We start from the raw sequence: 13,632 nt of genomic DNA, 5'->3' as shown, positions 1-13,632 counted from the left end.
AGGAAAAAAATATATATATAATCTGAAATATGGTGGGCAAAAATAGTGATAGGTGCAAACCTGTCCAAATGTCTTGCTTTGCACAGACTTGAAGGGCCCAAGTTTCCTTCCAAGCTCAGAGAAAAGCTCAGCCTCTGGAAGGGGCTGCCACACATATCCCTCCCTGCATGCATCTTCTCCCCATCAAACAGAGCAGCTTGACAAAGGGAAGTTCGGAGAAAACAGGCCTTTTTTTCCCAGGGAAACAATGGAACTCTAGTTCTATTTCCCTATATCTCCCTTTCTTAGCAATTTAAAATGATAATTGACCTAGCTTCTGCACACTCTCTGAATCACTTCATTGTGTTAAAATTATTCGAATGACAATTGATGAAGAACACAAATGTGTAACTTTGTAAAATAGGAAGTCTAAGTTGGGGGAAAATTGAGTATATTCATTAAGCATACCTTCATCTTGCCATACACCATTAAGCACTCCAAATAATTCCTTGGCTTCCCTCCTCCTACCATTATCTGGGAAAGCCTGTCTGCTGTCACCAAATTCTAGCATAAACTGCTCAAGGCCCTGTATTTTCCCATTGCTGCTTATTATTGTACCACGAATTCTAATTTGATTCAGATTCAGAGGGCTCTTTCTCTTCATAGTATGAAAGCATTTTGGCAGCCATTAACTCTATGGGTAGAGATCACAAACAATCACACAAACAAAGAAACTGCAAATTAGAGCTTATATTCCTTATATCTTCACATGGTTGATGGAAGTAAGACAACTCCACAAACCATGCATTTTAAAGAACATTTGCAGGGTGAATATATTACAAATATGGCTAGGAAGTGGGCTGCAGTATATCTCCAAAAGTGACTGATTTAAACCCAAACTTAATGTATTTTGGAGGCCAGCAATAATTTGACTTGCTGAGTGGATGGAATTTATGGGTATAATGCAGTGCAAATAAAAACATCCTCTTTCAGTAATAAAGGTGTATGCTATGTCCGCGTTGGGAAATACGGCTTTCCTTACCTCTGACTTCTGGAGAGAACTCGTGGGAATAGCTAAGTCAGACCCAGTGACTTTCTTTGTGACCTTTTGGAAATATCAAATTTTATTTTTGTATTTAGGGGGGTTTATAGTGCCATTCCTGGATCTGTGCTTTTGTGTTTGAGAATCAAATAAATAAGAGAAAACCAGTAATGCATCACTGAGCTGTAAGTCATTTTCCTAATGAGGTGATCCAGCCCAGAGTGAAGGAAGAGCAGAGGACAGGATGAGGGTTTGGGACATAGGATGTTCATGTCCACCCCTGAAAGGCAGAAAGAACCCAATGGGAAGACAGAGGTTTGTAAGAAACCTACTGTTAAGTGACTTCTGACTTTAAGGATTTCCTATTCTTACCTGTATGGTTCTGACATGTAACCCTGAGGAGGAAACTTCTCATAGTGCATGTGTGGCCAACTGTCCATGATGTGCTAAATTTGAAGATGGAATTTAAGAAGTTATGAATTTCTATGAGTGAATTGTCATGAAATGAAATGAAGGCTGCAGGCTCCTTCCTCCACATCCTCAGCGTTTGAGAGAATCCCTTGCTCTGTCGCTCAGGTTTCATCCTTGTCCTCCACCCCTAGCCCAACTCCCTCCTCTACCACATACACATAGCACTTCAGCTCTTGCTCACCCGGTCCAGCTATTCCAGTTCTCCGTGGAGGTCAGGTCTGAGAAGGTTGATCATAGGCACTACAGTAGGTAATCTTTACTACCTGAGCCTCTGTTTCTCCATTCAGGAAGGACCTATAAGCTACGGGATGAGGCTCTCCCCTTATATCTATCAGAATAATGTTGTGATGGACTGCAATATTGTCAGAGGCTAGGTAGATTCACAGAACATCAACAATTTATGGTTTACATATCTGCAACTAAAGCAGGGGAAAAATGATATACCCTCAAGGACTTTGTATTTCCTGAGATACTTGCAGCATAAATTGTAGCTTAGAAAATTTTATTTAACTTTTAAGTTCAAGAGTACATGTACAGGCTTGTTATATAGGTAAACTCAAGTCATGTGTCATGGGAGTCTGCTGTACAAATTATTTTGTTCCCCAGGTATCAAGCCGAATACCCGTTAGTTATTTTTCCTGATCCTCTTCCTCCTTCTAGCCCCCACCCTCCAATAGGCCCTAGTGTGTGTCGTTCTTCTCTATGTATCCATGTGTTCTCATTGTTTAGCTCCCACTTATAAATGAGAACAGACAGTATTTGGTTTTCTGTTCCTGCATTAGTTTGCTAAGGATAATGGCCTCCAGCTCAATCCATGTTTCTGCAAAAGATATGATCTCATTCTTTTTTATGGCTGTATAGTATTCCATGGTGTATATGTACCACATTTTCTTTATCCAGTCTACCATTGACAGACATTTAGGTTGATTCTATGTCTTTACTATTGTGACTAGTGAATAGCTTTTGGAGAAGGCATATCCCTAGCCCCAATCCAAAGACCTCATCAGTTTCCTGAGAAAAATCATAAAGATCTTCGAAGTCAATATTTGTTTCAGAAGTCTAGAAAAAAAACAAGTTGGGGTATGTGTGTATCACCCTTCTATTAATCACTTCAAAGGTTAAGATTAATCATGATTACCTTCCTCATGGGGATAGTTAGAAGGTAGGATGAAGTATTGGAAAAAAGTGTAAGACAATTATGAAGTCAAGACATATTAAATGGCCACAAAATATTAGGTGTTCCTATTGAAAAGTTCAGAGTTAGTTCAGATTTCCATTATTATTTCTTTATGTTAATTAGTAAATCAGCCAGAATTTATAGCATCTCCATACTGTTTAAATTTGCTGTGGATTTCTGGGGGCATATCCCAGCAATAGTTTTTCTGAAGGAGGACTGCAGCTTTTAAAGTGTATAGGAGGTTCTTGAGAGATGGGGAAATGGAGCTGGTTTCAGATAGTTCCAGCTTTGCCAGTGGTTATGTTTGTGACTTATTTTCAACTGTCGAGCTAGATGAGTCCATGACCTGAAGTGTGTACTGTCAGCCCTTTGGGTCTATGACCCACATGCTTGGATCCTAAGTCGGTTCAGAAGACCAAACATGAGAGAAGGGATCCACACTGCAATAAGAGGCCAGATGCAGTGACATCTAGTTGAAATCTCCTGCCTGAGGCCACTAATAATTCTTTCCCGATTTTTTTCTATATTCCTTCCCTCTATTTCTTCAAACTGGCTAATTCAAACAAGCAGAATTCTTGTGCTTCAGAGATGCTTTAAGGCTTGTCTAGGATTAGATTAGACTTTTTGGGACCCTTAATGTAGCCAAGATTGTGAAATTATGTGGGCTGGGGTACGGGAAGACCTGGGAGAGGACACAGCAGCTATCCGTCTTGTGGAAGGGTCCTCCTGCTTTCTGGATTGAACTAAAAATTGGCATTTTTAGAATGACTTCTCCCAAGACCTGTCAAGGGATACGCTCATTTAAGATCTCTCTAGATGATCATAGCCAGCTGAAACTTCCCAAAGTTGACAGCTAGCATCCATCTGCACTTCCCTTTATTGCTGGAGTTTTGTTAGGATGCTATGCTAGGGTGTACTTGTCATGGGCTGCCTTACAGCAGGCTTGGCAGAGGATTGCAGTAGAAACACAAACACAAGAACAACAGTTATCAGAAGACCTTTCTATCCCATTTAACTTGTTTCACTAACTAATGTAACTGCCCGATTTTCTCAACTCTGAAATGGGAATGAAGGTAATACCTCCTCTACTAACCAAACCTCATTGAGGTAGACTCCTGGAGGTACCTTTTGACACTCCAGGGTTCTAAGATTAAACCCTCTTATCCTAAATCTCCTTGTGCAGTGAATAATATTATGGACAGGTTTATATAGTTCTATCCAGTTTATTGTTTCCTTTCTCTGTGAAATAGTAAGAGTGCTCATTTATTGAGCACCTGCTGGGTGCTAAGTGCCCTCATATGTCATTCATTAGTATTCATCACAAGGATACTTCAGGCGTGGGATCATTAACCAGAGTTTACAATCTCAGAGGGCCAAGTACGCAGCCTGTTCTCACATGGGGGTGGCGACGAGGCTGGAGCCCATTAGAGAAGTTAGATTCTAAGACCTGTGTTTTTTTTTCTACCACAGATGTGTGGAGTGGAGTCACTTACCTGCCTAAGCCTTTCCTCCCTGTCTTCATCTCTTTAAAGAAGTTCTGCTCAAATAAATTCTACTACATCTGAAAAACCCCAAATGCCACCTTGTTTTTCAGAGATTTAGGCAGACAGTGAAAAAAAAAAAGCTTCAATCCTTTCAAATTTAAATAATGTTCTGTAGTTTACAAAGCACTTTCACATGTAGTACCTCATTGAATCTTCACAACCCACTGTAAGGGAGGTTGTGTATTTATAATGTGTTTACTAGATGAGGAGACTTTGAAAGGTCACTTGCTATAACTTGACAGAGGTCAGGTAACCAGTAGGAAGCAGAGGTGGGACTTGAACCCAGGTAATTGGTGTTTTTTTAATTGTTTCACACAGCTTCATTCACTGAGAAAAAGGAGCTGGGGAAGAACAGAGGTTAGGAGCTTACAAGGTGGGTTTAATTGACCAGGTATCAAATCCTGATTGGAAAATAAGAGTCACTGAATGATGTGAGCTGGTCTCTTGTTTTTCCACCTTATATACTGAGAAAAAAACTAAAGAATGAACCCTAACCCCTCTGCTCACCACCAAAACTGGAAGTACTTTACAGGGACAAATTTGAGGAGCTGAAGAAATTGCATGAGGCTGGCCTGCCTTGCAGATACAGGGTTGGGCAGTAGGAGTTAGCAGGTAGTGGAAGATATCCTAGTGGATTCAACCACCTGCACCCCCTTTTAAACACCAGTATTTTTGTAATGATTCCTTTCTTATCTTGAAATTTCTACTTACTTACAGACACAATTTTTAAAAATAATGCCTTAATTGTGGTATAAAGGGGACTTTTTGTTACTTTTGTAACGTATAAAAGCAAAGCATTTATAATAAAGTAATTCGTAATAATTTCAATATGTAAATGCTTGGGCATGACGGCACAAGCTGCAATGAAGTAACCAGGTGTCTGCACACACACATAGAATGTCCATGGGTGCAACACCTATGAATTCAGACTATAAGGCCGTGTATACTGGTGACTCAAATGCCATGAGTGGCACTGCCATTGGTGATATTCAAAATGATAAGCATCTAAAAAAATGATGAACACCTCTTAGTCAAGTTCCAAACAAGAGATTATCTTTTTTCCATTTTCATACTAGTTGCATTTCCAGAAAATTCAGCGTATATTAGAATCACGTGATAAATTATTTGTGATTACGTGTAAAATGGAGGTGGATTCCAGGCTCAGATGATTTCAAATAGGTAGTTTACTCACATGCATGTCCAGTGGGACATTTAAACATCATTCAGGATGTGGAACAATTCTTTGTTGAGTAGGGCTGTCTCATGATTTGCAAGATGTCTATCAGCCCTGACTCTGGCCAACAATTTCAGTATTGCTCTCCTCACTGGTTATTGTGACGATCAAATATGTTCCTCTCTTCAAATTTCCAGAATGCTCCCCTAGTGCTTCCTCTGTTGAAAACCATCCCTGAAGGGTCAGGGAATACTTTGAAGCCAGTCATTCAGGTCCTTCTGTTGCTCCGGCTGACAGGAGCACCAGGCACTGAGTTTCTAAGGAGTTTTGTACAAAATCCACAACAGTTTGACTCAGAATGGTTGGTTCCCTCTGAACCATTACAACACTGTATCTAACCAGTAGCCCGTGTATTATAGTGGAAAGAGCACTGTCTAGAAATCTTAATAACTAGGATTGAGTTCTTAGTCTCTGTCACTAAAAGCATTTTATATGGGGAAGTCATATGCTTCTCCAGGCCACACTACTTGGAAGGCCCAAACTGAGATTTAGCTATGGTGGAGCCTTGTCACATTGCCCTCTTCTTCCTCTGTTGGGTTGTCTAATAGGATGAACTGATTTTTTTTTTTTCTGGAAAATTAACTCAAAGAGTGTCAGAATTGCAGCAACCCAGTGATTCCAAACCACAAAAAGGAAAGCAGAGCCCCAAGTGGTAGTTCATCATAGGAGAAGCAGCTGAACGTGAGGTGGACTTAGCAATAGGTCTCCAGGAAAAAGATGGTAAGGAGTTCCAGGTATAATGTGACAGCTGTTGCTGGAACCCATTCCTACCCTGGAAATTCATATACACCCTAAGAATAAAAGGGAAAACAAAAATTTTTACTAAATTCTGAAACAATTTTTGGCTGAACAACCCAGGTTTGAACTCCACTCCACAGTATAGCACAGAGGAGAGGAAAACTTACCCTGCTTGAGCTGAGCATTTCTCTATAGGGTAATCTCTGGCAAAATTGTTGCCCAGGTTATCAGAATGGTAGAGCCTGGAGCTGCAAAAGCCCCAGGTGAGAAGGCTGAATCAAGTCATCTCTTAAGTGTCCTTGTGGTTCTGAAATTCCGTGAGTTCTAAGATTATTGGCTCTAAAAATATAGTTCAAAAATATCTGTCTTGGGTCCAGAACATAATACCAAGGCTAGAGGAAGTTAAGGAATGGCTAAATAACATAATAACACCAAGTAGGGAGTAATTACTAACTTGCCTCAGATGTATAATTTCTTTAACTCTTGCTTCAAATTGCATTTATTTCTTAGGCTTGATAGGCAAATGTAATGAACAAGTGTTTAGTATAAATTGATATTAATCTCTTCATCAAGAGTTTTTTGAGCAGAGAAAAGATTAAACAACATAGTCTTTTTAACATGTCTCAGTTATTCAGGCTAATGAGGTGCTCTAATTTGGAGATTTGATAATAGTCATTAGGTGGCACTACCAGTACTGCAGGCCTAATGCTAAGGAGACATCTACTAGTTTCCAGAGTCCATACCTTAAAAATGCAACAATATTCCACTTCAGAAACATCACTTTTCTCTATTTGATAATGTCCACTTTTAGGAAATTGGGATACTGGTACCTAGTATAATATTCGGCACAATGGTCATTTAGAGGATCCTTTCAAGTCTCTCTGTTTCCATGATTAAGGGAATTCTCATTTTCTGTGCTCTAACAACTGTTCTGGCTGTAGAAGGATCGTTAGTAAGAAAGGTTGGGTGATGGAATCAAACCACAGGTATGAGGAAAAAGTAGAAATTAAGCAAAGAATCTCTACAAGGAGAACTACAAAACACTGATGAAATAAATTGTGGGTGACACAAACAAGTGGAAAAACATCCCATGTTCATGGATCAGAAGAATTAATATCATTAAAATGACCATACTGCCCATCTACAGATTCAATACAATTTCTGTTATATTACCAAAGTCATTCTTCACAGAATTAGAAAAAAAATCCTAAAGTTCATGTGGAACAAAAAAGAGCCTGAATAGCCAAAGCAATACTAAGTAAAAAGAATAAATCTGGAGGTATCACATTACCTGACTTCAAATTAGACTACAAGGCTATAGTAACCAAAACAGCATGGTACTGGTATAAAAATGGACACATAGATCAATGGAACAGAATAGAGAACCCAGAAATAAAGCCACCAATCTTTAACAAATTCAACAAAAATATATGCTAGAGAAAGGATGCTCTATTCAATAAATGGTGCTTGGAAAATTGGAAAGCCACATGCAAAAGAACAAAACTGGACCCATACCACTCTACAAAAATTAAGATGGATTAAAGACTTAAATGTGAGACCTCAATCTGTAAAAATCCTATAAGAAAACCTAGGAAAAACTCATTGGCCTAGGCAAAGAATTTGTGACTAAGTCCTCAAAAGGAAATGCAACAACAACAATAGCAACAACAAAAAAACGAATGGGACTTAATTAAACTAAAAAGTTTCTACATAGCAAAATAAATAACATAGAAAACAGACAACCTACAGAATGGGAGCAATATTTATGAACAATGCATCCAACAAAGGGCTAATATCCAGAATCTACAAGGTATTCAAACAGCTTAACAAGAAAAAAACAAGTAACCCCATTAACAAGTGGGCAAAGTACATGAACAGACATTTTTCAAAAGAAGACCAAGTGATGCTTCACATCACTAATCCTCAAAGAAATCCAAATCAAAACCACAATGAGATACCATCTTACACTAGCCAAAATGGCTATTTTTAAAAAGTGAAAAAACAACAGATGTTGGTGAGGATGGAGAGAAAAGGGAATGCTTATACACTGTTGGTAGGAATGCAAGTTAGTACAACCTCTATGGAAAACAGTATGGAGATTTCTCAAATGACTAAAAATAGACCCACCCTTCAATCCAGAAACCCCCCTACTGGGTTTCTACCCAAAGGAAAAGAAATTATTATATCAAAAAAAATCTGTATTCATGGGTTTATCACAGTGCTATTCACAATAGCAAAGTCATGGAATCAAGTGCCCATCAACAGATAATTGGTTTAAAAAAGGTGGTATATATACCTAGAATACTATTCAGCTATAAAAAAAATGAAACTATGCCTTTTGCAGCAACATGGATGGAGCTAGAGACCATTATCCTAACTGAAATAATTCAGAAACAAAGAGTCAAAATCTGCATGTTCTCACTTATAAGTGGGAGCTAAACAATGGGTACACATGGACATGTGGAGTAGAATAATAGACATTGGAGACTCCAATAGGCAGGAGGGTGAAGGATGAGATATACTACCTATTGGGTACAGTGTTCACTATTCAGGTGATGTACACTAAAGCCCAGACATCACCACTATGCAACATTTCCATGTAACATGACTGTACTTGCACCCCTAAATCTACTTTTTAAAAAACAAGTAAAAATTTACTTCCAGCTGGGCATATTTTTTTTCACAGTTCTCAATTTTGGTTGCACATCAGATTCACTTGAGATGAGTAGCTTTAAGAAGCCACTGATGCCTGGGTCCCACATCTAGAGAATTTGATCTAGTAAGTCTTGGATGGGACCAGGGAATTGCGAGTGTAAAAAGCTCCCTGGAGGATTCTAACATATGCAGCAAAAGACGAGAACCAGTGTCTGATTCTTCTTCTTCTTCTTTTTTTTTTTTAATGGAGTTTGCCTCCCAGGTTCAAGCAATTCTCCTGCCTCAGCCTCCAGAGTAGCTGGGATTACAGGCACCTGCCACCACACCCACCTAATTTTTTGTATTTTTAGTAGAGATGGGGTTTCACCATGTTGGCCAGCCTGGTTTTGAACTCCTGGCCTCAATCAATCCACCTGTCTCAGCCTCCCAAAGTGCTAGGATTACACGCTTGAGCCACCGTGCCCAGCCTGATTATTCTAAGAGCAGCAGCTCTCTTAGTAGCTCCCCGTTTCTGCTATCCCAGCCCCCACTCACAATGAGCCACATCCTTTTCTTGGTTTTGAGTCTGGAGTGTTCTATAGAGTGCACAACTGTTCTTTACACATTGGAACATGTGGAGCCCCAAGGTGTCCTAATTCCTACTTTAAAAAACAAACAAGCAAACAAAAAATCATGTTTGCTTCTGTGGGAGAAAGAAAAAATTTACAAAGGCAAAAGAAAGTGCCTGGAGAATACCTGAACCAATGACCATATTGGGCTTTATTAAGCCCTTAAGAGGGGTTTCCCCCCTATATAATAGTGCATTCTTTTTTCACATATGTAATTTCAAGGCCCTTAATCCATCTTTCTTTTCTCTGTAGACCAGTTGATATCAGGCTTGCAAACAACAAATAATTCCAAAAGATGCAAAATGAGTGACATGAAGCATAGTACTTTCCACTGATAAGGATGAGTTAGATACACAGAAATAGTTTAAGGTGAGTGGTGACAGCTCATCTTAAGAAAAGGATTACCTCTCTTCCAAAAAGAGAATGCATTGAATAGTCCTTGATTTGACTGATATGAACAGTATAGAATGAAGCCCAGGCCCAGCTTGAATTTATTTATTTACCTGACTGATTAAAAGAAAACACTATGTGGTTCTATTTTTTTTTTTCTGAAAAGTTGGATCATATCTATTGTTCTTAGAGGAATCTTGGTCTTGGTTAGCACCATAAGAAAGCAGAAAAATACGATAAACATTATATCTCCATAGGTGATAAACAGTAAATTTAACCCTTGGTCTTTCTGTCCTTATATTGCAATGGGAGTTGAAAAGTATAAAATGGATCCAAAGGTTTACAGGTTCTATGACTGATAGTTTATTTTCTGAGGACCTTTTAGAACTAACTCTTTCATGAATAAATTTGAGAAGCATTTAAAAACCACTGACATCCAGGCTATGTCCTTGCAAATGGGGCCTTGCCTTACCAAAGCCTGTTATTGGTCAGAAGTACTGCATAGAAAAAGCAAACCTGGCATGATACTGGCATAAAACAAGGAAATTAGTATATCAAAGAGTTATCTGCACTCCCATGTTTATTGCAGCCCTATTCACAATAGCCAAAATTTAGAAGCAATCGAAGTGTCCATCATCAGATGAATGGATAAAGAAAATGTAGAACATACACACAATGAAGTACTATTCAGCCATTAAAAAAGAATGAGATACTGTCATTTGCAATAAGCCAGGCACAGAAAGACAAACATCACATGTTCTCACTTATCTGTGGGAGCTAAAAATTAAAACACTTGAACTCATGGAGATGGAGAATAGAAGGATGGTACCAGAGCCTGGAAAGGGTAGTTGGAGGGAAGGGGAGATGATAAATGGGTACAAAAATAAATTAGTGAGAATGAATAAGACCTAGTATTTGCTAGAACAACAGGGTGACTATAGTAAAAAAATAATTGTTCATTTAAAAATAACTAAGAACGTATAATTGGATTATTTTAAAAACAAAGGATAAATGCTTGAGCTGACGGATACCTTATTTATTCTGATGTGATTATTATGCATTGCATGCCTATATCAAAATATTTTCATGTAACCCATAAATATATACACTTAGTATGTACCCACACAAATTGAAAAAAAAATTTTAAAGGAAAAAAGCAAACCTGGCAAAGTTAGGTGATTGTGAAACCAATATTGGAAGAAGAGGTTACCCCAAACCTTACCAAATTCAAATATCATTGCAATCATTTTAGTGACTTAAAGATATGGGTAATCTATTGGTTGGGGAAGGGTGAGGGTAGAACTAACCTTCACTGTTTGGTCCAATGACAAGAGCAATTTCTGAGATGTAATTACTTGAGGTGTGTATGTTTGGATAATGAGGTTAGCGAAGCCTAGTTCCTGGTGGCACCTGAGAAACTCCCTGTTCTCTATTTAACTACCTTGAGCTTTGTAGCTTCTTATCCTGCCTTGACCTTGGATTCCTACAGATCGTGAACTTAAGACATTTATAAGTAAAATGCAGCTCCATTTCCTCCTTGAAAAATCACAAGGAGCTTGAGGAGCAAGTAGGCTTTAATGGGTATTCCTCTGTGACCTCTGATATTACCTTCACCACTCTACACTGTCAGCTGTTGAAATATGGAGATTCCTGGTGGGATTTTGTTGAGCCTTTCTCTTGCTTTGACTCTAGATAAGGATTAAACAACATGACTTCAATTAATGACCTTTTGGTGGCTCAATGGAGGTAGAGCAGGGATATGTCCTAGCCCCTTTCTACTTAATATGCTTTTAAATAATATCACCTTTGGATTAGCTAGACCTAGGATTACCTCATAATAGTCTTTTTTTTGCCTTCATGTTTTTTTTTTTTGAGGCAGAGTCTCGCTCTGTCACCCAGGCTGGAGTGCAGTGGCGCGATCTCGGCTCATTGCAAGCTGTGCCTCCCGGGTTCAAGCCATTCTTCTACCTCAGCCTACCAAGTACCTGGTACTACAGGCACCCGCCATCACGCCCGGCTAATGTTTTTTTCTTCTTTTTTGTATTTTTAGTAGAGATGGGGTTTCACCGTGTTAGCCAGGATGGTCTCGATATCCTGACCTCGTGCTCCACCTGCCTTGGCCTCCCAAAGTGCTGAGATTACAGGCGTGAGCCACCGCGCCCGGCAGTGCCCAGTATTTTTTGTATGAACAAGGAACATGCCTCCTGATGTAGACAATGTTTGTCATTAGGAAGACTAACTTAAAGTTTTAGTTGATTTTTTTAAAAAGTATAATGATACCCAGACTTATTTTAGTATGACTTTAGACTTTACCTGGGCCTTTTTTTTTTTTTTTTTTTACTGATTTTTATTTTTAAGCTATCCAGGTAGGATTTTAAAAATCAATAGCTAAGCTAGGAGAATATCCTTTCCCTTAGACATGGAAAAGCTTCTTTCAAGCAGGTGGATGAATTTGTTATTACCTGACAAGAATCATTCTCCAAGCCATAATTTTTCAATTATGGTAATAAAAAAGTTAGAGCTGTTATCCATGTATTGAAACAGATTTCATTCATAGATAGCTCCCCTTCTTTGGCATGCAGCCATGTTATTCAAGTGCTTTCTGAAGTTTTATAACTTTAGCTGCAAAAATTAATTTTCACTATCACAAAAAGAGCTGTGCAGTGGCCAATGTTACTGCAATGAACTGATTGACTCTGTGCCTCAAATTCTGTTTTGGAATGATGAAGGGTAGAAATAAACAATTTTAAAGTATTGGTTGACTGAGGTCCTTGACAAATCAATCTTAAAGCAGAGATAATTGGCATGTGTTTTCATTCAGATGAATGACAAATGTGTAAATCATGATTTTTTTCCAGCATAACATTTTTCACACATATACTTGTAAGAATAACATTTATTTCCTGAGAGACATCATACAGGCCCTGTTACTTTTCAGGACTCTCGTGTCCTTATCTGTAAAAGGAGAGGGTTGGACGAGACCATCATGAGGACTGTTTCCAAAGAAGATTGAATAAAACATTTATGGACAATGGAAATATCACATAGAATGAAGGGCTTACGGATAGATTTTGCTTGGCATTGCTTTTATTTTCACTACTCTTTCAACTGAGGTTAGAGAATCCAATCTTCAACAGAGATGTGGGATTGAGCTTTTATTTTCCATAGAATTTAGACCTGTGTTATTCTTTACTTTGTATCTTCAATTGTTCAGAGAAAACCATCTTATCAGCTGGGCCAATAAGATCATTAATGGAAAACAGTGTTGTGCACCAGTAGATCTTTACTTCTTGATCAATAGTTATTTACTTCTGAGGGGTCATAGCTTGGTTAATATAGCTGAATAATTTTATTGATAGATAATATAACAATGAAAAATCAAGTTTAAAATAGAAGATGAATGAATATAACACTTTCTTCAGGCATGAATATTATTATTTGAAAACTGTAATAGCTGCTGGAATGTTGAAAGGGCAGACAACAAAAGCATTGAATAATTGTCCTAGGACTATAATCAGACTTCCATTATTGACCTCTGTTAATATTCTACTGTAACTGTCTGCTAAATTGGTTCCTTGGGGCTTGAAATATACAGTGATGTTATGAGTTCCTATCGTAAATTGCCACACAGTAAAGTAGCAAGTCTCTGAAATAGTGTTGGCCCTAGTTTGATCAATACTCAATTCAAAGCAGTGCAATAGGCAACTGTTTCCATAGAAACATTGATGTCACAGAGGTTGAACAGCAGCTGTTACAACAAATCATTTCCTTTGAGCAGTTGTAATTGACTATAT

Source organism: Homo sapiens, chromosome 2 (genome assembly GCF_000001405.40).
Source record: "Homo sapiens chromosome 2, GRCh38.p14 Primary Assembly".
Classification (NCBI taxonomy): Eukaryota; Metazoa; Chordata; class Mammalia; order Primates; family Hominidae; genus Homo; species Homo sapiens.
This window is presented reverse-complemented; position numbering follows the sequence as displayed.